The 24,465-nt window shown below is 38.2% G+C and overlaps 1 protein-coding gene across 2 annotated transcripts in view, besides 2 other annotated features; it reads right to left on the bottom strand.

Annotated features, from left to right (window-relative positions):
- FBN1 (fibrillin 1) overlaps positions 1-24,465 on the bottom strand; it is a 237,397-nt gene that overhangs the window by 89,601 nt on the left and 123,331 nt on the right. For both annotated transcript variants that reach the window (NM_000138.5, NM_001406716.1), the window contains 9 exons: positions 22,746-22,904; positions 18,270-18,449; positions 17,474-17,614; positions 15,636-15,755; positions 12,131-12,256; positions 10,669-10,791; positions 7,112-7,234; positions 5,874-6,026; positions 1,072-1,125 (listed from right to left, as the gene is read on the bottom strand). In NM_000138.5, the coding sequence (NP_000129.3) occupies positions 1,072-1,125; positions 5,874-6,026; positions 7,112-7,234; positions 10,669-10,791; positions 12,131-12,256; positions 15,636-15,755; positions 17,474-17,614; positions 18,270-18,449; positions 22,746-22,904 (1,179 nt within the window). The remainder of the gene's footprint in view (positions 1-1,071; positions 1,126-5,873; positions 6,027-7,111; positions 7,235-10,668; positions 10,792-12,130; positions 12,257-15,635; positions 15,756-17,473; positions 17,615-18,269; positions 18,450-22,745; positions 22,905-24,465) is intronic.
- Positions 9,559-9,853: a silencer, noted in NCBI's record as "tiled region #3576; HepG2 Repressive DNase matched - State 12:CtcfO". NCBI's record gives its function as "represses a minimal TATA promoter and a strong SV40 promoter by Sharpr-MPRA in HepG2 cells {active_cell/tissue: HepG2}" and the evidence as "EXISTENCE:reporter gene assay evidence [ECO:0000049][PMID:27701403]".
- Positions 22,619-22,913: a silencer, noted in NCBI's record as "tiled region #9539; HepG2 Repressive non-DNase unmatched - State 12:CtcfO, and K562 Repressive non-DNase unmatched - State 13:Ctcf". NCBI's record gives its function as "represses a minimal TATA promoter and a strong SV40 promoter by Sharpr-MPRA in HepG2 and K562 cells {active_cell/tissue: HepG2 | K562}" and the evidence as "EXISTENCE:reporter gene assay evidence [ECO:0000049][PMID:27701403]".

Here is a 24,465-nt window from a genome sequence, read left to right on the forward strand (position 1 = left end):
ACTCTTCTATGAACATATAATGCCCTCTTCACTCTGTGTCAGGAATGCTTGGAGCAGGCCTATTTACAGGTCAAAAGCCAGCTCCAACACCACATGCTCTGAAAAAGCCTCCGTTGCTCTGCCCACCTGAGGTGGGGCCCTCCCTCTTCTGTACCCTCACAACTGAGGAGGGAATCTCATAGTCAAGGCAGGTGCAGAATGACAACCAGTGAATGGATAGTCTCAAATCCTGGTGCCTGACTCTTCTATAAATTAGGGTTGACTTTTTTTTTTTCTTCCAAGTCCCTATCACAACTTACTTATTCCCCATTAACTCCTTATTCGTTATAAGTTTCCTTACCTCTCCTCTTTCCTCCTCTAAATATCCCCTCCACATTTTCATTCACGCACAATGATGAAACTAATCATACTGAATGAACTGACAATCAATTCAGCCAGTCCATGTTCTTTCAGATCTCCCTGAATCAAACTATGTAGCTTTATATTAATAAAATAATCCCTTCCTCTTTCTTGTCACCTATTGTCATACTTGTTCCAATTCTCCTTTTTAACTTTAATTCCTTGCATGGCACCAATATTTCTCTAGCTAAATATTTCATTCTCTTTTAACTCAGTTAATTGTTGTCACTGCTCTCTATTGCCATTTTATAATACTGAGCACTTAACAGTTCAGAATCCTTCAGAATGCAGATGGAGAATGGTTCAACTAGCCCATCATCCCGAGTGGTACTTGATAGTGGAAGATCCACAAGAGAGTCAGGCTGCCCCTTCTCAAGCATGAGCAACAAAAGTCATTACACATCATCTGCGAGCACCCATCAACCACACTGAGAGAGCACCTGACCCCCTCAGTGGCCAAGTCCCACAGCCACACCCAGAAATCCTAGAGCCCACAGTGCCCCGGCTGCTCTGCCACTGAAGGCTTCTGAGCATCCCAGATACATGGCACAGTGATGGCCAGAGAGGGAGTCAGGCCAGACTAGTGTAAAGGGATCAACTGGAAACCCACAAGAAAGCCTGATGCTGCCTCTGCACATACTGAAGGTAGTAAATTTTGAAAGGAATCCTTACCACTGCCTGCTGACGTCATTCCTGGCCCACTGCTGCAGAGTGCCTGATATTCCGCTGCAATAAATTAACAGATAGTAAATGATTCCCTTGTTTGCAGAACAGGTAGATCCTGCCCTTGGTTTTGCACACATCATTTCCTCCAAAGTGAGTAGAACCAAACTTAAGTGGTAACGGAAAAGGAGGTATCTCCCCAGGGAGTCACCTTTACACCAGGCTCCCATTTTAAAGGCTACACATCATCAAGGAAAACAACTTTTAAGGATACAGGCAAGTTATAGCAATTCCTTGTGCAAAGCCCTTTCGGAAAAGGTGTTTTTCCTATAACTTGATTTTGTTCACCAGGGAACACTTTACACTTACGGTGAAATGTGCCTGTTAAAATGTGGTTTCTTAACTGTTAATAAAACTTTCTCCCACCATCTTGGGGATAATTTTGTTTCTCAGTGCTAGCTGTTTTTTCAGTACAATTGGTTCTTAACATTTCCTCATTTCTCTCTGCAAATTCTCTAGCCTCCTCTCACAAGAGCAACAACAGAATACCTACTCTTGCATTTAAGTGTATTTTTAAAGTTAATATGTATCAGGATACTGGATTCATTCTCTATGGTATATCCATAGAGAAAGTATTGCTTAATGTTAAAACTGTGAGATCATATTGAAAAAACTGAAGTATAAAGAATATGTCCCCAAATTTGAGATAGAATCAAATTTCTATTTCTTAAAATTAATACCATGTTTTATATACAATTCCAACAATACTTAACATAAGAGTGAATGATGAAAATGTAGAACTAACTGGAATCACACTATCCAAGGAAAGGAAACTAGTGTCCCCTTAAGTTGCCAATGGTTTCTGGCAAACACAGTCTCATGGTCATATGTAAATCATCTGTGCTTAAGTGGAAGGAGAACTGGATATCAGGGCTGGGGCTTATTGTAGAGGCTGACTGCACCTCACTGCTGAAGCAAATAGTTCCTATCCCCTGCATGCCAGAGAATTGCATCCTGATGACATTGGAGGTAAATGAGTTATACAACCAAAGATTATCATGTCTTCTAACAAATGTGAATTTGAGAAAGCAGTGATGATTTAATTTTCAAACCATCTTAGAAGGGGTCAAAAAAACAACAGATGGGAAGGTGTGTTTGAAAGCCAGGTGTGGGAACAAAAAGAAATTCATCTTTTTTATTCTGCTGTATCAGCAAAAAGCTAAAATATGCATGAAATACTGTAAGTAATAAAACAAGAAAACCAAAATCATACCAGTTTTATAAAAAGGACTTTTAGAGATAATGACAATTTTGCTGATGTTTGGCCTAAATGGAAGCAAATTATTGTCACCATTGTTTTCCATTTAGGCAGGATCTGGTACTAGACCATTTTTTGTAGTGAGTTCAAATAAGCATGGGTTTTAATACCGATGACAACGCTAATTGCTGGGAGTTTTGGAAGCAGCCCTTTTCCTCTGTTAGTTTCTTCTCCCATAAATTTGGAATGACAACTCCCATTTCACCTGGTGGCTGTACAGAATTAACATTACATGTTTAATGATTGAACGTGTACTGTGCACAGCTCAGGCCCTGAATAAAAAAATAAGTAAATAAAAGTATTATAAACACATAGTGAGGGGTAGGTGTTGATGAGCTAACTCCGCGTAGTGCCATGGAGACAGTGACATGAGGGATCCATGAGAAAATCCCCCCGAATTACCCTCCTGTGGGTTTAACTGACCAATTACACTCCCGTGGGTTTAACTGATCCATGTCTGTGAAATGTCATTGTCAGAAGGCTGAGGACACAAGAGGGCTTGCTGAACAATGTGAATCAGCTCCAGCAACCAGTGAGAAACAGCTTCATATGTAGCTTGCCTGACTTGCAGACCACAAAGATGAACTTCAGATTTTGTATATTTGGAGTCTCTCCCTCAACTGACTGAAGACATTCCTTTTGAATATTTTCAGTACTTTAAACAGCCTACCCCCCATTCTTGAAATGAGGGATATCCTACATTCGGATGGTTCATGACCAAAGAGGTGGAGAAACCAAATGAATGAAACTACTTCCATGTGTGGACCCTTTTTTGGGTAAATTCATTCAAATATAAGACAAAAGTTAGTGGAACCGGGCCTTACATTTAACTCTCTTTAAGCTTTACTGTTGCTTTGGTTTGAATGTGTCCTCCAAAGTTCATGTGCTGGAAACTTCATCCCCAATTCAATAGTAATGCTGGGAGGTGAGGCCTAATAAGAGGTGATTAGGTCGTGAAGGCTCTACCCTCATGAATGGATTAATGTCATTATTATGGGAGTGAGTTAGTTATCATGAGAGTGACTTTGTTATAAAAGCACATTCAGTCCTCTCTAGCTTTCTCTCACTCCTGCATGCTCTGTTGCCCTTCCACTTTCAGCTGTGAAGTGACTTGGCAAGAAGGCCCCCCACAGATGCTGGCACCTTGATATTGGACTTCCCAGGCTCCAGAACTGGGAGAAATTAATGCATTTTCTTTATAAATTACTCAATCTGTGGTTTTCTGTTACTGCAACAAAAACTGGACTAAGACAACTGCTTAAAGAAATCTGGTCTTTTGGTCACCTTTTTATAAACCCACATAATTTCCCTGTGGATTTTAAGAATTCTTTGGAAGTGCACTTGGTCCAGAGGAAAATACAAAGGCAAATAACTATATGCACCAAGGTTCCTGGATTCTAAATCTTGGCTCTTCCAATCATTCAACATGTGAACAAGTCACCTGTACTCTTGTGTGCCAGCTTTCATGATACTTGTCTGTATTGCAAATTCAAAGTAGGTAAGTAAAGTACTTTGAAAAGTTAAAGTAACACACAAAAGGATGATATTAATAATATACAACTATAAAGTTATAGGCAAATGTCTTCAACAGAATGGTATTTGTATATAATAAAAGTATTATAAACACATATTGAACTGATTGGTGATCATACATAAAATGATAATTTCTATATTATTCACCGGGTGAAGTCATTAGCCAGAGCAGTTTTTTTCTTTAAATAGGCATCCCTCATTTCCTTTTTCTTTCTTTATTGAGACAGAGTCTCGCTCTGTCACCCACGCTGGAGAACAGTGGTGCTATCTTGGCTCACTGAAACCTCCACCTCCTGGATTCAAGTGATTCTCCTGCCTCAGCCTCCCGAGTAGCTGGGGTTATAGGCGCGCACCACCACGCATGACTTTTTGTTTGTTTGTTTGTTCGTTTGTATTTTTAGTAGAGATGAGATTTCACCATGTCAGCCAAGCTGGTCTTGAACTCCTAACCTCAAGTGATACACCTGCCTTGGCCTCCCATAGTGCTGGGATTACAGGTGTGAGGCACCATGCCTGGCCCCCCATTTCTTTTAAAGTCTTCCATTTAACTTTCTCTAACTTTTCATAGTGTATTTTAATTTCCAACTGTTACTTTCAAATACTATCATTTTTAAAATAACAAATCTTTTAAAATTATGATTTACTCTTTAATTTGTTTCCTTTAGGGCAGAAATAAACTGACTAAATCCTATATGTAAAAACAACCAACCAGAGCTACATATTTTCAATATTAGGTCTAACTTTATTTTAGGACATTAGAGGTCCACTGCCAAGCTACCTTAAAATTGTGTTTAAATACTGGCAGAACATTGTTTTAATTTCAGTAATCTATTCTTGTTTTATAAATAGAAATAATTTACAACTGGACAGGACCTTTTGGATTATCTAAGGCAACTCATTTTGTAGATGAAGTGTCTAAGGATAGCTTGTCTGCATTATTCTATTTTATAATTATGTTTATTAATATAAGCCACCTCAAATCCTTTTGAAAAGTAGGTGAGGAAAATTCAGAAATAAGCAAAATACACAAATAACTAAATCCCCTGATTAAGTAATTTGGCTGCCTGTTGATGGAGGAAGAGAATTCTGACTCGCTATCCAGTTCTCTTTTCATTAGGCCATGTCACTTCAACTGGAGAAAAATAGTTTTTTCTCTCAGGTTAAATCAAATCATTAAAGAAAACCACACCGGTCCGGGCGCGGTGGCTCACACCTGTAATCCCAGCACTTTGGGAGGCCGAGGCAGGTGGATCACGAGGTCAGGAGTTCAAGACCAGCCTGGCCAATATGGTGAAACCTCGTCTCTACTAAAAATACAAAAATTAGCCGGGCGTGGTGGCGCACACGTGTAATCCCAGCTACTCAGGAGTTTGAGGCAGAGAATCACTTGAACCCGGGAGGCGGAGGTGGCAGTGAGCTGAGATCGCGCCACTGCACTCCAGCCTGGGCAACAGGGCGAGACTCCATCTCAAAAAAAAAAAAAAAAAAGAAGAAGAAGAAGAAGAAAGAAAAAGAAAACCACACCAAAATCAATACGTGGGATGTAAACAAAATTTACAAATGGCCTTTTGGAAAGCTAGTGGAAATAGTCAAGTAATATGACAGTTATTTACTTTTACGCTGTGTAAAAGTCTGCTTTTATAATAGTTTCTGCAAAATGCAAACATCATGAAACAACTTTAGAAAACAAGGCAAGGTGCATGTATTGCAAACAGCTTGAGTATTATTGAGGTAGGAGAGTTTATACGAGAGGCACAAATGCAATGCCTATTCCAAATAATTATGAGGCTTAGATAAGTACCTGTGACTAGACACTGGCTGGCCTCTGCCAAGACCCCAAGAAGGCACATGGCGTACCTGGAGAGCAAAATGTCATCTTCCCTGTGAATTCCACAAATGCAAAGACCTCAATGGTGGCAGAAGGCTGGCAGTACGAGGGCATCTCCATGATACCACATACCTGAATTCTGTGCAGGACACGGCTGGCAAGGTTCCCCAAATGCATACTCAGTGCTGGCGCAACAGCATTCAGATTTAGTGACAGCACCAAACAAAGGTTTGATACACTGGCCTCTCTTGTATCCACCATAGCATGTGCTCCGCATGTGTGTGTCTAAACAGGAAGAAGCATCTGTCATCACACTGTCACTTCAAACAGATGAGAACCCCCCAAGTCAAAGTTGAAGAGGGCTTTATTTATCCATCATCCCTGGTGTAACTCACAGGGAATGCCTCTGATATCGGGGCTCCATTTGAAGAAAAAATAAACAAAAACAGAAAAACAAAACACGTTCAGCTTCTAAGCACTGGAAACCAATGGCCAGATTGCTTCAGTTTTCTAGGGAGTATCATGGTTTACTAAAATGTGAGGCCCTTCAATGCTGGAATTATATCTCACTTATTTTGTCTTTCTCGGGCCTGTGCAGAGCAGGCACTTAATAAATGTTGAATTAATGATGGATGAATGTTGAATCTCACATCCTGCTAAATAAGACCTTTATTAGAAATGCGGCCTATCCCAAAATAAACACGCAATTACTGAATGTCTGAATTAGGTATACTTTCCAAAAAGGAGAAAGTTTAATCTGTAAAAGGTTCGTTATATAAATATGTAGATGTTGGTCAACTAAGCTGTGTTATCTTTACCACCAGGAAGACAGTCTCCTGCTATGCCCTATCCTTTTCCAATTCAAATGGCTTACTGAGTACCTTTCTTAAAAATAATCTGGATAAAATTGGTATCAATTTTTCAACAAGTCTCATACTTTTTATAAAGCCTCATAAAACTACTATCATACAGGTTTCTGGATTATCCATATTCTCCTTTGCATTCTATACTGCCCATGGACATCAATTCTCTATTAAAATGTTCATCATGAGATAATAGCATATGCACATCAATTTCAATGACCAATATCAACAAAGGAGGCCTGGAGAAAACTGAAGACAGCTACGGGATTAGGGAAGAAAAGGGGGAAGGATAGGTGGGGATTCCCTTGCTTTTCACTTAGCTCATCTTTCTAATCCTCAAATTAATGTTCAATTTACACAAAAAGAGAACTGACCCTGTTGGTTTGTTGCTCTGCAAATATTCTTTATATCTTATCTGCTACAGTAGAGAGCGTTTGTTACCATTGGGCTTTATTGAGTGACAGAGGCTGAACCTCTCTCATAAGGTTAGCCATGATGTTTTCTTACCAACACACACACGGCCATCCAGACCCACAGCCAGTCCAGGGAAGCATTCACATCTGTAGGAGCCATCAGTGTTGACGCAACGCCCATTCATGCAGATCCCAGGGGTTTCACACTCGTTAATGTCTGTGGCAGAGAAAGGCACTTATTAAAAATGAAGTGACATTTATCTAAAATTATAACATGTTGACAATTATGTTTTAACCCTTGAAAATGGGGAAGATAGGAAATAATATGCAGCATCAGCAACAAAAGCTCAAATGGCATTCTCATTTTCCTTTGAAAGAACAGTAACAAAATCAAGAGAAATCAACTGTTGGAACTTATTTTCCATAAAAAGTAACTTTAATATATTCTCCCAAGAGATTTTTGTATCCAAAATAATCACAAAGGCAAAAACAGAATCAGAGGAAGGAGAACAATGGCTGCTAAAAGACAAAGGGTTTTGTGAAATGTATAACCAGGGTAGCTCTTCCAGGGCTCTCAGAAATCTAGGGTAATAGTAAACTACAGGAAGACTTTCCTTTTGGTATTCATCACCCAGACTGGCATCACTTCTAGTATCACCCATGTCTTGGCTCTCTGGGAAAATTCGCCTAAAATTAAAGGATATACAACTAAAGCCTTGATGGAACACCACAGAAAAAGAACAGAAAATGAATATAGATTATTTTCATGACCATTCTTGGCCAATAACAGCACTGTATGCAGTTGGAACCCAGCAAAGAAAAATCTTTCTTAAACTTTACAAACACTTTATGGTATTTTATGTGTATACTTAAGGAGGTCTGGTAAAAGACTTTATCGGACACATATTAATAATAGCAGAGGGTTTTTTCCCCCCTTAATATGGGGAAGTACAAAAGGCACCAAAATTGTGGTTTGGAAAACATACAACACTTAGAAGTAAATGATTTTAGGCCAGGTGCAGTGGCTCACACTTGTGATCCCAGCACTTTGGGAGGCTAAGGTGGGCAGATCACTTGAGGCCAGGAGTTCAAGATCAGCCTGGCCAACATGGGGAAACTCCATCTCTACTAAAAATACAAAAATCAGCTGGGCATGATGGCATGCGGCTATAATCCCAGCAACTTGGGAGGCTGAGGCGCAAGAATTACTTGAACCCAGGAAGCAGAGGTTGCAGTGAGCTGAGATTGTGCCACTGCACTCCATCCAGCCTGGGAGACAGAGTGAGACTGTGTCTTAGAAAAAAAAAGAAAAAGAAAAAAGCAAATGATTTTATAACAACTCCTTTTATAATATACAACTAGTGTATGGGACTATTAACTTTCTCCTGACCTTAAAAAGGCAAATTGAGAGTAAAACACCTTCGTGTTTTACTTAGCTTGTGTTGTTTGGCACAAAATATATTCGGGTGGTCCAAGGTTCTGTGTACAGATTGTATTTGAAACAGCAGTTATATTTAAATACAGGAACTCAAATTGGTTAGTTATTCTGGTCAACTTTTTATTCAAATTGTGACACACAGCAAAACGTGGAGACTACAACCTGAAAGGTAACACAAAGGGTTTTTAATAAGAACGGAGATGTAAGGTAGATCCAAAGGGAGGTAACCTTGGTCAAAGTTAGTGGCTTCAACTTTCAGAGAGTGAACAGAGAAGCCATGTTGTTGATCAGATGAGTTAACTGTGGAGACTGAATTAGCATTGATGATTCAGCTTTGAACAGTCACATCTTTGTGGGCTCAGAACTAAGTGCTCAGGGCTAGGAGAAAATCTTACCCTATGGCATAAAGACAAAAATTATAAAAAGGAAGAAATCCAGTATACATGGGATTAATTTCTTTTTTCATCCTTTAGTCTTATTACAGTGTGTGTACTCTATGCTCTATAAGCTAGAAAAAAATAAGACATTGATAATAATACAGAGCTGTGGAGCTCTCTCTCTCTCTCTCTCAGATCCTTAAGCCAGAATGCTAAAGTCAGAACAAACCATCCATATCATCAGCACTTTCAAATTAATAGAACAACCAATTTATTGATAGGATACTATTTCACTGGTTGCCAATGGTTGCCAAACCTGGTTTCATCTATGAGGTCACAGCATTATCTATTGGCCATACTTAATGTTGGGACGCTGTGGCCTGGGTCAGCAGGAGCCTAGAGGCATGAAGAGTGAATCTTAGTGTGCTCTGTGTATCATCAAGAAGATTATGTATTCTCCTAGGTCTGCTCACAAAGGGGCTTTCATATCTCTTTCTATTATTTTTTTTTGGAAGCCTAATTCCAAATATTCCAGCAATCATTCTCTTCCCTTTTCTTTTTTACTTGTACAGTGCTAAATTTGCACAATTTGGCACTTTGTTTTATGCTATTTTACACTGTAGAATATTTCTATGTGTTAATCCTGTCTTCTCATATAAGTTCCTCCTAGCACAGGGCTCAAAAGTACAGAAACCACCTTCCTCCTTCAAATTTGAAACACCCAACTGTTTTCTCTTGCTGGGAAGACAGGTTTGCACAATATTAAGAGCCATTGATGTGAAGGTCATAGAGAATGTAGGTAAACAACCAAGGGCTTGAAGTTCTTTTAAGCCTGGAGAAAATGCACATCTTGCCAAGGACTTAATACAAGGCTTTCTTCCATAACACGTTTACCAAAGCTGTCCACTAGGGGCACACAGAGAAGAGGCACCATAGGACTTTATTCTGCTTTCCTCTACCTTGAATAGCTTGACCCTCTACACTTCTGCATCTGAAACTATGCCCAGAAGCTCTAAGTGCAGCATTTTAGCAGATTTTCTGGACCTGCTTTGAGTATGAGGTTCTTTAAGAAGTCTGGTTCCAACTCAGATCCTGGACCAAGTGCAGTAATCACTGATCCCTACATAAGACAGGAGACACTAAGCACAAATTTGTCTCCAGTAACTTTTCTTAGGACCCCAATTCTCAACAGCAAAAATAAAAATCCTCATTTTTGCTTCGATACCTGGGGCAATGAGATTATTTCAAAATGGTTTACCAAACTAAAAAAATGGTTCTTGGTTGTTTATTTATTCTGCTTAATCCTGTTTCCCTTCTTGCTTATGTAACTTGATAAAGCCGAAATAAATTATCCTTAAAAAAAATTTCTGTGTCTTAAGATGCCTAGAGGAAATTATGAGGAAGAGATCATTGCAAATAACAGTCTACACTATTCTGTCCAGGTAAAGATGTAAGAGGTGGCAAATAACAGCCACCAAGAAGCCTAACCACCATTATTCCCTAACTGGAAAGAAGAGGTAGAACTCAGCTTCTTGAGAACAATGCCCACATCTGTTGGAAGACCAATAGGCAGTTTGGATTATTTATTTGCTACATAGCTTTTGACTCCTTTGAGAAGACCTCAAATACCCTTTCTGAAATAACAATAGTCTTCTGGGCATAAACTGTAGCTCTTTGGATGGCTGGATTTAAGAAGGAGTTTCAGTCAGGTTTCCCAAACCAAAATTCAAGGTACTTTAAGTGGGGAGAATCAGTAAAGAAAGGTAGTACCTCTAAACAACATAAGGAGGAGAAAAGGCACGTGAAGAACATGATCTAGGGTTTTATAGCACGAACCTTTGCAATAACGTCCATCTGATGCCAGCTGGAATCCAGGTTTGCAAATACATTTAAAACTGCCATCTTCATTGATACACATTCCATTAAGGCACATGTTCCTTATGCTGCATTCATCCATATCTGAAAATACAAAACATACATTTTCTTATGACCAGAAGAGTAAGCTTACGAAGGAAACCAATCTGGATGAAAATAATTCTGTTTCTTCGTATTTCTTTCTTTTTGTTATTACAGCCTAAGGCTAACTTTCATCCAAATAAGATCATCTAAGGAAGGAGAAGATGGGACATATGAAATACATATCTCAAGTTCTTGAGTTTTGGCATGTGCATGCAAACTCTAGGGCTAGATGTATAGGTATATCTATTTATAAAATTTGACTCCATAGAAGTTATCAGGATCCTTTTTAGGAATAATAGTTTACAAACTGAAAAATGTGCTAATAGCCTAGTGGGTATATTTATTTCACAGATTCATATTACTTCTAATGCTCTGAATATGAACATAAGTCAAAACTAAGATTAGTGGAATTTGAAATGTATTTAGGCTACATCCTAATTCTTTTAAAGATGAAAACCAGAAGATAACTTGTAGTTTGAAGCAATTTTAAATAGGGGCAGGTAAAAAGTGGACTTTTAGAATACATGGCTCAACTATGGATTATAGCTGTGGCAGTGAACCTTTAAGATCCCTTAAACATTGGGGATGGTTCTTTAAATTCATCACTATGTTATTTTATTTGATATTAAAGCTGTCTTGGGAGGCACTTGCTCTTTTAGACACAGTGTTTTCACTTACAGGCTTTAGAAAGACCAAAGTGATTTATTATATATACATATTTTAGATATATATAATATATATATTAGACATATATAATGTATTTTAAATATATATTATTTATATTTTAGATATATATTATTTATATTTAAATATGTATTTTATGAATATTATCTATTACATATTCAGAAATACATATATACATAATATATATACACATATTACATATATAGAAAATATACATAACATGTATTTTTACATTATATCTATTTTAGATATATATTTCAGATACTGATTAGTAGCATTTTATTACTAGGCAGACACTTTAAACAAAAAGATTATAAACGGCTAGATAATACACAGACTTAGGTGTGTCCTATTTTTAAAAAATGTACAAATTCTGATTGTAAAAAATTAGAAAGTATGAAATTGTGCCACAGAAGTTTCATCACACCAGGGATCTTTAAATGGCAAGCTCTCCTAGCATATTAAAATGTTATTTGATTCACACAAATGTAAATTAAGAAATGAATATCATGGAAAATTAGGCTTCCTTTTGAGATAAAATATATAAAACATATTTGATACTTTGACATTTCACTCATTATTTGGTCTTGTTAAAGACCCCTGATATTGAAACTGCAATGGAAGGAGAGGACTAACATTAGTATACTATTATTACCTTCACAGTTCTTCCCATCTCGTGTAACATGAAAGCCCGCATTACACACGCAATGAAAACTGCCATCTGTGTTGATGCAGCGTCCATTATTGCAGATCCGGCCATTCTGTAAACACTCATCAATGTCTAAAATCAAAGTTTAAAAAGAAGAAATAGCTTTATTTAGGGGAGTTAAAATTATTTTATTTCCCCCTCCCTCCATTTGCAAACTCATGATCTTGGCTTTTGGTTTTAATTACTTAATAATATTCTCCAACATAAATTGGTTATCAAATAATGTGATATTTAGGGTTATCAGAGTTGAAAAGACATGATAAAAAACCTGTATAATGGCATTAGATGTAACTCTAATTTCTAATAAGACTCCTTAAATCCGAAGTCTGTAAACAAAATAGATTCTTCTTCACCATTTTCCAAGCACATCTATTTAACCAGTATAAATCACTATTTATACTGAAATTTGGCTGGCATCTTTAAACATATAATTTTAAAAGACATATTTTATAGCTATCTCAGAACAATACAACATATGCTATTTTTTTAAACAATCACCTTAATTCTGCCTGAAAACCGTCAATCACATCTCTAAAATGTCCATCTTCCTTATACCAATTCTGGTTTACGTGCAGGGTTACTGCTGATAGATTCTTAGTCTTTTAAAAAACAACTTTATGAGTATTCTACCAACCAAATAAAATATTGATTCTATGAGGGTATTTTTCCTTTTTTTCTATTGTGGTTAATATTATGCCAAGGTACACAACAGAGCTTGACACGGAAGTGTTAAAATAACAATAACTGAAACAACCTGTATCTGATTTCTCCCTTAAATATTAACAATCTACCCAAAGTGGATAGCATGGTTCCCTGGATTATCTGTTTCTCTCAGTTTCTAGAAGCTACAAACCTGGATAAACATCAAAGAGGATGAACACAAACCTCTTTGTCTACACAGGCACACAATCACTTCCAGGGCTTATTCCCAGAAGACAGGGACCAAGAAACTATGTGGAGTTGGATGCGAGCATTCCTATCTATGCAGAGTTGAGGTCACATTTGTCTGAGTATAAGTGCCCTAAATATCCCCTGAACAATGAGCACGTGCGTTCATGGCATGTCAGTTACTCTGACTGTTTACCCTGTGTCTGTGTGGTGTCTTGTGGTTGGCCCTCAGATGCACTTTCTTTCTGGGCAGATCCTGCAGTGGTTTCCACACAAGTCATTGGACGAGCTGAGGCAGTCTGGGCTTTTCTTCTGTCTGATCTTTGTGCCAACAACCTACGATCTTTTTCTCTCTCGTTTATTTCTTAATCCTTGCTAAAAATCAGACTTGCTCCACACTCAAAAAAAAATGGTAAAAACCACATATTCTTGAGCAGACTTTTTTTTTTTAAGGATCCCATAATTTTTTGAGGCCCAAGGTTAAAATAAACAGGATAAAAAGTTCATATTTTTCTCTCTTCCTCAATTTCAGAATGTCATGGGGTTCCCCATTGCCCTATAAGACAAATTTAAAGCTTGTCATTCAAAGTTCTCCTCTACTGTGTTTCTGCCCATCCTTCTATCCCCTTCTACTCGGCCCCTCACTTACTTCCCAGTTATGTGCACAGCCTTTTGGACCATTCTGTGGCAACTTTCATCAGCAAAATAATGTGAGCACGTTCTCAACTTCTTATTTTCAGGATAACCTTAGTGCTAGCTCTTAAAGAAGGCAGTGCTTTAAGTATTCAGGTCATCCTCAGTCTCCAATACTAAGTCTCAGATTGATAACAACCACATACATGAGTTTATACTGGCTGGTCCTTGCCCCAGCTGAGTGCTCTCAATAACCACCTCTCTTTGCTTATTTAACAGTGCAGTCTCTGGACATTGATTTCATTTTATTTTCTGTTATTGCAAAATGCCTAGTATGCTATTTGTACATGTTAATTATATTAAACAATAGTCATAATATTAAGAAGGTTCTCAACTCAGTTACGTGTTCAACCTATCCATATTTATAACTAATTAATAGAAATGTTAGTGAGTTCAAAGTCCTTGCTCCAGTTTTTTTCTGCTTAAAATGGTCATTTATATGTAGTGCACTAAAATACACTGGTGGCAAGAAATCTCTACGTGAGAACAAAATTCATAAATTTTGAAGCCAGTTCACTGATAAAAATTAAAACTTCTATATGTCTTCAACTCATGAAGAGCTTTTGCTAAAAGAGGCAAATAAGATTAACTCTTGTCAATGGCTACCAATTTTCTAAAGTGATATAAACCTCGCTATCTTTTACTTAACTTTTAAAAAACTTTTAAGTTTAGGGATACATGTGCAGGTTTGTTAAATAGGTAAACTTCTGTCATGGGGGTTTGTTGTACAGATTATTTCATTACCCAGGTATTAAGCCTACTACCCATTGGTTATTTTTCCTGATCCTCTCCCTCCTCCAACCCTCCACCCTCCAATAGGCCCCGGTGTGTGTTGGTCCCTTCTATGTGTCCATGTGTCACCATTTAGCTCCCACTTAAAAGTGAGAACATGCAGTATTTGGTTTTCTGTTCCTATGTTAGTTTACTAATTATAATGACCTCCGGCTCCATCCATGTCCCTGCAACGGACATGATCTCATTCTTTTTTATGGCTGCATAATATTCCATGGTGTACATGTACTACATTTTCTTTATCCAGTCTATCATTGATGGGCCCTTTTATTTAACTTTAACAGAGTATTTGCCTGTTTTTTTTTTCTGTCTTTACTGAATTAATGATACAGTTCATTTTGTGCTTAATTTAGAGATAGAGATGGAGATAGATGTTTGGGCTCCCTGACAGTGATCATTGTATCTTATTTATTTCTGTTTTAGAAACTCAGTACATAAGAGTCATTTAATAAAAGGCATATTGGGTGGCTTAATAAATTAGTTAATAAACCTGATGGGAAATTTTTTATGAGGGGACATTTATAGCAGTGCTTCTCAAACTTCAATGTACATACAGATTGCTGGGGGATCTTGTTAAAATATAGATTCTGCAATAGTATGTCTGTGGTGGAACCTGAGATTCTGCCTTTCCAAGCAGCTCTAGGAGATGCTGTTGCTGACCACACTAAAAAGCAGCAAGGGCTTAGAGTGACATCCCTATCTTTTAGAACTTTCCATTAAGAAATTAATTGCACATAATTTCAACTGAAATTTTCCTCAGTTGCTGTGTCATAAAGGACAATTCCACTCTCTACTTCTCAGATGAAAACTTAAGAGGCAATAATAGTGACGAGACAACAATACTGAAAATAAGATTTTCCTTCAGGCATAGACGCATCTTATAAAATAACTTCAATGCTTGCCAGATTTTATGACACTGTCTTTCAGAATGACAATAGGTGGAACTAAGTTCAAAAAAGCCACGGGACTGTATTAGTCTCTTCCGGCATGGGTTATTTAAACTCCATGGAACTCCTTTGAAGCCAACCCCCAGTTAGCATATATGTCCCACATTCCACGTCAGGAGCCAGGACCATACCTCGGCATTCTGTCCGCGTGAGTGTGCTCTGATATCCAGCTCGGCACTGACAGGTGTACGAACCCTGGTTGTTAATACACTCACCACCAGCACAGGGGTTTTTCTCACATTCATCAACATCTGCAAAGCACAATGTATTTTAGTGCAAAATTACATAGCAATACCTCATAATTCTAAGACTTTCTGGGTTCCTTTTATACATATAAAACATTTTCCTTTTGAGAAATAAATAACATAATAAAAGGATCTTTTTTCTTTCCACTACAATATGTCATTAGCCATTTGAAGACTGGTTGAGCAGTTAAAGTGTATTATTTTCATGTGTCATTTTGCAGAGAAAAATTCCAAACATGTAGCAACTCAACAATCTGATCTAATAAACATTTTTTCTTCCTTGAGTCTGATCTAAGAGGACCAAACAGACTAACATTTCAGAAGTGGCTTCTGGATAGGATTCCGAGTATCTCTTGAAGCTCTGTTTTTTTCCAATAAAAAGAAGGTCTAACCATATCCAAGCATTCCCTGCTGAGTTCCACTAAAATGTTAGAACAAAACATGAAGCAACTGTTGTTTAAAGGGCAGTTCTCAATCACCACAGAGTCTCCCCCATCCCCAGATGTGTTCAATACACAGGCTCACACTAGTTTTACAGTCACTTAGAATTATCAGTACATTTAGAGATAAACTGGTTTATATGACCCTACTTGTAAACAAGAGGAAGCTAAAATTTAGCAAAGATAACCCACTTGTCCACATGCTTCTTAGTGCCAGATACAGATTTGACCTCACATTCCGCAACCCTGAGTTAGATGTTCCCACTTCTACTCAGCTCTGGATGACCTCTAGAAGGGGTGTTCATATCATCAGGAAATTAAATAGTTTGGGAAAGTAAGAACTCATCATTTCTGACAAATCATAAATTTATAATTATAAAAGTAGAATTCATAACAGAACTAAGAGGTGAACTTATTTTAAAAACAAGTTGATAGGAGCTGAGTGTTCTTATCCAATCCAAAAATTGATTATTCTTTCATTACATTTCCTCCCTTCACCAGCTTAAATGCCTCATCAGCAATTTAAACTTTCTTTCTTCCATTTAAAATAACTAGTCTAAGAGAGTTGGTAAGCTACACATTTAGACTAGTATAATGTGCAAAATTCCATAATTTGGGGATATTTTTAACGCTTTCTTTTAATGGTAGGGCTTTTGGTAGGGTGTCTTAAATTGGAGTTACCAGAAATGATTTGAGTATCTTTTACAATGAAAGTTAAAAGTAACTTTAATAGGCAGAATAATGACCTCCCAAATATGCTCATGTCTTAATTCCCAGAACCTATGGATATGTTTAGCTAGCAAAGGAGAATTAAAGTTGTAGATGGAATTAAGGTAGCTAATCAGTGATCTTGAGATGGAGAGTCTCCTGGATTATACAGGTGGCCAAATGCAGTCACAAATATCCTTAAATGTGGAAGAGGGAATTGCAAGAGAGAGCCAGAGAGAGACAAAGAGATTTGAAGATGCAACACTGCTGGCTTTGAAAATGGAGGAAGGGGTCATGAGCTAAGGACACAGGCAGCTGCTAGTAGCTGAAAAAGGCAAAGAGATGGATTCCTCCCAAGAGCCACCAAAAGGAAGACAGCCCTCCCAACACCTGGATGTTAGCCCAGTAAGACTTCTGTTGGACTACTAACCTACAGAGCTGAAAGATAATTTAAATTTGTATTGTATTAAGCCACCAAGTTTGGGGTAAGTTGTTACAGCAGCAATAGAAAACCAGTAGAGTCAAGGAACAGAATTACAACAGACCCTTGGTGCCAACCTAGGATGGATCACGTACCAATACACTCCCCACGGAGGTCCAGCTGGAACCCTTTGTTGCACTCACACCGGTAACTCCCAGGAGTTGGAATGCAGCGTCCATTTTGACAGAGATAGCGGACCAACTGGCAGTAATCAGTAACGTTTACTGGCAGCACCCCTAGAAGAACATTAAGCCCCATTAAAATTATTTTAACTATGGTATCTTTCATCAGTACTTAATCTGACAATAATGAACAAGATGTTGAATCAGAAAGGAAAGAGGATACTCTTTGGGCAAAGGTCGTCTGGTGACAACAGAGCATATTTCCACCCTGCCAACAGAGATCACATTGCACTGTGAGCACTGGGGAGCTCACAACCCAGCTGCAGCCTGCTTTTCTCTGCCCTCTTCACCACCTCACTCTCAAACCTCTAGTTTGCAGAAATAACAAAGGCAGAGAGATATTGGTATTGAACTACTTATAAAACTGCCTTGCAAGCTCTGTAACCTAAAGTCTAATATTATACCTCCTCTATTAATCCTTTCTGTGAATCAGATTTAACTATCGCCCATAACTCTCCCATAGTTGCCTGAAAACACCAATAACAAAAGGACATTAATCTCTGGAGAATAGGAAGCCTCCCGTTTTTCTCTATGCAATAGGAAAATTGAGACATACATATGATATAGATATAGATAACATTATGTAAACCAAAAATTAATATAACAATTTACAAACTTATTTAATGACTAAAGTAGCATAAATAAATAATAAAAAAATGTTAACTTGAACAATGCAAGAAAAATAACTAGATGATTTTTGAATTCTTACTTGGTGGCTCCCGAGATGGATACAGATATTCCACTGGTGGTCGAGGGACCGGAATTTGAGGTCCAGGAGGAAAGCCAGGAGGAACAGGGAGAACTGGAGGAATGGGGCCAAGGGGTGGGGGAGGATATTCTGGTCTCCCAGGAATTACCATAGGAACAGAGCACAGCTTGTTGAAATCCTCTAGAAAAACACAACAAAACAAAACACAACAGCTGAGCTGTAGCTTATGATCATAGGCCCACAGAAGTCATCCTTATTTTTTTAAAGATATTTTTGAATAAAATTGATCCTCAAAATTCACAGGTCAACTGGAGAAAAGAAAAAGAACCAACTGACTGGATTCCCATTTTTAATACCTGCAGCAGCAACCACTCTGGAACAATAATTCAAATCCAAAACCATGTTCCTCCCAAAACCTCAGAGTCTTTATCTGTATCAAAATTCACCTCATGGAAAACATAAAAGTACTACTTTCTCCATCCAGTCCCACCTGTGGATTCCACAGGGCTCTACAGAATACATTAAAAAATTTGAATTTTATTTTATGCGCAGTGCAAAACCACTGGATGTCTTCAACGGGGGTGGGACATGATCAGATGACCATTTTCAGAAGATCATGCTTACAATTACAACATATGAAGAACATTACTGCGGGGAGGCAAGGCTGTTGCAGAAGACCAAGGGGGAGATGATGATGTCCGGATGGGGGAGTCAGTGATTGAATCGGACAGAAGTGGACAAATCTGAAGCACATTTTAGAGATAAATGTGTAGTGTTCAGTGAAGTAGATTTTTGAGATAAATGTATAGTGCTCAGTGAAGTAGTAAGTGTCAGAGCTCAGGACACAAGAAGTCAAGAATGACTCCTAGTTTTCTGGTTGAGCAATTGGGTGAATGTTGGTGCCCTTGCCTGGACGGGAAAAATCATGGTGATAGCAGATTTGGTGGGTAGAAACCAAGTTCCATTTTGAACATAGGAGTTTTGAGATATCAGACATCCAAGTGGAGCTATCACTTCGCAGTTGTAAAAGACAGTGTGAAGCTTAGACGAATCAAGGCTAGACGTGAGTTTCAGAGTCATCAGTACAGAGAGGTGATACTCAAAGCCATGGGGATGGATGAGCTCATGTAAGAGTGGTGTGGAAGGGGAAGAGAAGGGAGTGCAAAGACAGAACCCTGAAGAATACTGATTCGTAAAAGAAAGCAATATCAATGGAGAAGTGGCCCATAAGGGAGGAGAAACACCAAGGGGTGTGGGTCGGGTATGAATGCTGCATAGTGACCCTCTGAATGAGGACATCCTGACTTCATCATCTGCTTCCCTATGATTCTACATTTTTAGGATGATTACTATTTTTCACAGTGTCAGGTCTTTATCAAATAAATCATCTTTAGGTTTCCACACATTTGTTCTGGGCTTCCAAAAAGGTGTTTTTAAGCAGTATCCAGGTTTCCAAGGATGTATTTATTTTATTTATTTTCATGTTGCCTACAAATAGCCATGTTTTTTCATAGTTCCCTTCTATAAGTAACCTATGTGACTTTTAAATTTCATTTTTTTCCTCTTTTGCTAGGATTTTGGTAATTTTATTTTCACAGTTGTACAGTGATTTTCTCATGGATACCTTCTATGCTAGTTTCAGCCATTAATAGAAATTAGACTAATATTTTTCTTTTCCTTACAGACTAAAATTTAACTTATTTTCAGACAGTAATAGGTCTTACTGAAATGCATTCATATTTCAACCTCACGGGACATTCTGCCAATTTACATGAGGTTAAATAGGAAAGTACTGTTGGTACTTTCTGGTCCATTTCTAAAATTTCTTCATTCATATTTGACATTTCCATCTCAGGTCAAGTTTATGTTTTCAGATAATTCTCTTACAGCATTTTAATTACGATTTCACTGGAATTTCAAATTACAGAGATACTGACGTACTTGAATGTATTTGTAAAGGAATTCTATGTTGTTCATGCTTCCCTGACTCAAGATGTCTCAATCCTGTTTGTCAACCAACAGTGATTCTTCCTATAGATTTATCATCTGTACGTGCCATATCCACCATTCCCTGGGAACCTGCTCTCACCAAATTCCCACCACTAAGACTGTGTAGTCTGTGAAGTCAGGGATCATCTCTAACTCATGACTAGTTCCCACTCTCAGCCTTGCCCTGCAAATTGCACATAACAGGAATTCATTAACTATGTGTTAATTTTATTAAATGACAGTTACATTAAGGAACTCACTTTGCTTCCAAGCATTTGTAGGTACCAATTCGGCCTTTCTTTTTAAGACTTTTTGAATTTATATAAAAGAAATTTAATAGCTTATCAGCATTTCTGCTAATTAGGTGGGTATTTTACTTTAAGAATGCCATTAAATTCATCTTAACCTCTCTAGGAAACTGTATCAGACTGAATCTGATATTTCTTCCTATTTTTTACAGATTTAGTAATCTTCTCATTGCCCCTTTACATTCAGGATCAGCAACGTGGGGCTAATTTTGTTAAGCTGATGTCCATCTTTCCTATCTCCACTTAACCCAAGATGATGCTGATTTATTTTTTAAAGAGTGAAAAGCTGGCCAATCTAAAATCCTTCCTGCATCACTCTCTGTAAGAGCCCAGATCTCTGTAGCACCAGTACTGGAACATTTGGACAAACAAAAACCTACCTGCAAGTTATTTTGCTCTATAAATCTGTTTTGCCCAAGGCCTCTGAGGGCTGTGCATCTCTCAGTGGTATACCTGGGAGGACAGCTCCCTGTAAAGCCACACACAGGAACCTGGTCTTCTGCTCCAACTGTCCCAAAGTAGGTCTTCCTGCAGGCACCTAAACCTGCTCTAGTCCTCTTCTCTATTCAAAGCCTCAACACAGGAAGGAATCCACATCAAAGCTGCTGATTCCTAAGTTAACATATGCATTTTAAAAGCCATTCTCCTGGTACCTAAGCCATGTCTTAGTAGGAAGTCATGTGCTTCTAAACAGTGATCTACTAAATGGTCCCCTACTGGACTCAGGAAGGTAAACTTCATCTATGTATTTGTTTATTTATGTATTAGTATTTTAATTGACAAGTAAAAATTGTATATATTCATTGTGCACAACGTGATGTTTTGAAATATGCTCAATTGGTGGGAAAGATGTTGCCTAATAAGTTGCTCTCTGTATTTGAATGCCTCCTATAAGCAAGATTTTGCTAAATACTATGGAAGTGTAAAAAGCATGAGAAATATGAGACTACAATAATGAATGAGATTTCCTAATGAGATTGATCAACCAGTAAAAGAGCAAGATGTGAACACACATATGGCACTCATGCCATAGTGATAGTACCAGCCAGAACCACAGGAGCACAAGGAAGAAGGGAGCACTTCCAGCTGCAGGTACCTCGGGATATTCATGGATTAGGTCATGTTTGAGCAGATCCTTAACAAGAAAAGAGGATATATAACAGGCAAGGATGGCAGGAGTAGGGAGAAAGAGCCTGAACTGGCAAGAAGTTTTAGAAAAAAAAGCCAACTTGAATTCAGAAATGCTCGGATTGGGTGCAATGAAAACTCAATCATATAATTTAAACTACTATAAAGAACAAGAATTAAAAAGATGAACTGGGATTAGATTTGGGACTCTAAATACTGTGCTAAGTAGCAAATGTTCTTTGCAAGAAATGGAGTGAATTGGCCACTAAATATTGCCTGAGTTCATCCTGGGGAAATATTTTTGGACATCTTTCTCGACTAACGAAAGTGTGCTGTATTTATGTATTTGTTTAGTTATGTATTTTTAAACTAATGAATAAAAATTGTATGCATTCATTGTGTACAACATGGTGTTTTGAAATAGGCTCAATTAGTCAAAAGGTGTCTCCTTTTTCTCCCCTAGACACAATTTTTTAAACTGAACTTCACTGACTCATACTTTGGGAAAGGTACATGGCAATGGTGGATTTCAGAGACTAGTTAGGAGACTACTGGAACAGTCCAGACTAGAGAAAATACGCTTCTAATAGAAACAAAAAAATGGACAGATAAAAGAGATACTGTGAAGGAAAAAAAAAACAAGCAGGACTTAGCAGGAAGGAAAGAGTCCAATGTTAGGAAAAAGGAAATGTGTCTCCTGAACAACTTACCTGAAAAATTCTGAAAGCTGAGTTTTACTCTACTGAGCTTTTGAGTACTCCATGAGAGCCATTAAGTACTAAAATGAGAATAAGTACTTCCCCAAAAGGTTTCTGTTTAGTAGTAATAAGCCAGCTAAGTAAAAAGCAGTACCTGAAAACAGTACTCTTTGTACAGACCCCTTTTTTTTTCCTGTGCATTTTCTAGGGAAATTTCCCTGGACGTCATCTCTTATATTTCCTGGAGACTACTCATTTACCCAAGTTTCCATTACATCTGCATCATGCACATTGCCACTGGGCTTGTGAGGGCTGGGATGGGATATTCTGCAGATAACTGGAAGGGCTCTTACCGGTTGCTCTGATGGGACACATCTCAGGGGCGACAGTGACCCCTGGAGACCAGCATCGGCCGGCATCACAGCAGCACTGCATTTTGGTTATGGACTGTGGCAGCTGGTTAGAGCAGCGCCCGTTTGTCAGAGCTGTGTAACAGTATCCTGGGCGAACATCTGAGGACAAAGAAACACATACACACACACACATCGCTGAGATAATACTTGTAACAACACTCCCCTGCCCGAGCAGCTCCATACTTCACACTGGGGCTACGGCAGGATTAACTCACACCTCTGCCCCCCGGAAGGGAAGCTGCGAGCGCTGCACAGGAACAGTGCTCAGTCAGAAATCCCTGGTCTCACACCTTTTGCCCCTGTGTGCTAGTGCACTTGGCTGAAGTCCCACATTCCATACCCAAGGTGGGAACGAGTGATTAAAACCATGTGTGCCATAGGAAAAGAGAGACTAAGAAAATCACTAGCAGTGACAGTTTATTATTTATAAAGACATGTCTCTATGCTGAAGAGAGACTGGGTTGTCCCTGGTTTCAAACTGCTTAATTCGAGCCATTTTAGGAAAATATGTAAATCTATTTTAAAACAACATTTAGTCTACATTTCTAAAAGATCTTTCTTATTTTCCAGTCTGCAACTGTGAGAGTCAGACATAAGTTTTTGTTGTTGTTGTTGTTATTTTTGAAGAATGAGTCACTTTGCATTTAGATCCAATGCTTATTAATCAAGATTTCCTTTTGTCTTAGGGCCCTAACAGATTTTATAAGGTACTAGTTATTTATAACTTCAAAATGGCCCTTGATTCCAAGTTCTTAGTCCTATAGGATACAATAGCTCTAGAAGGATTTTGTTGTTGTTTTTGGCAGAAAGTGTCTTCTCAAAGCAACATGGTAAGACGCATTTCTATATCACTTTTATTGGGTTACATCATGTCTAATTGTCATGACATCCGACACACTGCAGCGCAGCTCTGGGTTACGGAAAGAGTTTGTGGCATAGGAAAACCTAACTTCTCCATATGCCTTTGAGATATTACCACGAAACAGTGAAGGCAGGTAAGCAAAATGCAAAACACTTTTACTGCCTGACATGTGCTGAGGGTGTACCTCTCTTCAAGTAAACTATATCTCTACAGAGATCATATAAAATTAAATTTTGAAAAGCAAATAATATCGTCAATATGCTTGTTATTTAAAGCAGGGGTCTCTAACCCCCAGGGGCCCCAATCCCCAGTTCTGGTCTGTGGCGTGTTAGGAACTGGGCTGTACAGCAGGGGGTGAGCGGCAGGTGAATGAGTGAAGCTTCATCTGTATTTATAGCCACTCCCCATTGCTGGCATTACTGCCTGAGCCCTGCCTCTGTCAGATCAGTGGCAGCACTAGATTCTCATAGGATGGTGAACCCTATTGTGAACTGCGCATGCGAGGGTTCTAGGTTGTGTGTTCCCAATGAGAATCTAATGCCTGATGATCTGCCAATGTCTCCCATCACCCTCAGATGGGACCATCTAATTGCAGGAAAACAAGCTCAGGGCTTCCATTGATCTACATTATGGTGAGTTGTATAATTACTTCATTACATATTACAATTTAATATGTAATATTAACTTGTATTAATTAATTTAATACACTTTATTGTGTATAATAAATTAATATTGTGTATTAATTTAATTAATTTAATATAATACACTTTATTGTGTATAATAAAGTGCACAATAAAT

Source organism: Homo sapiens, chromosome 15, assembly GCF_000001405.40.
Source record: "Homo sapiens chromosome 15, GRCh38.p14 Primary Assembly".
NCBI lineage: Eukaryota > Metazoa > Chordata > Mammalia > Primates > Hominidae > Homo > Homo sapiens.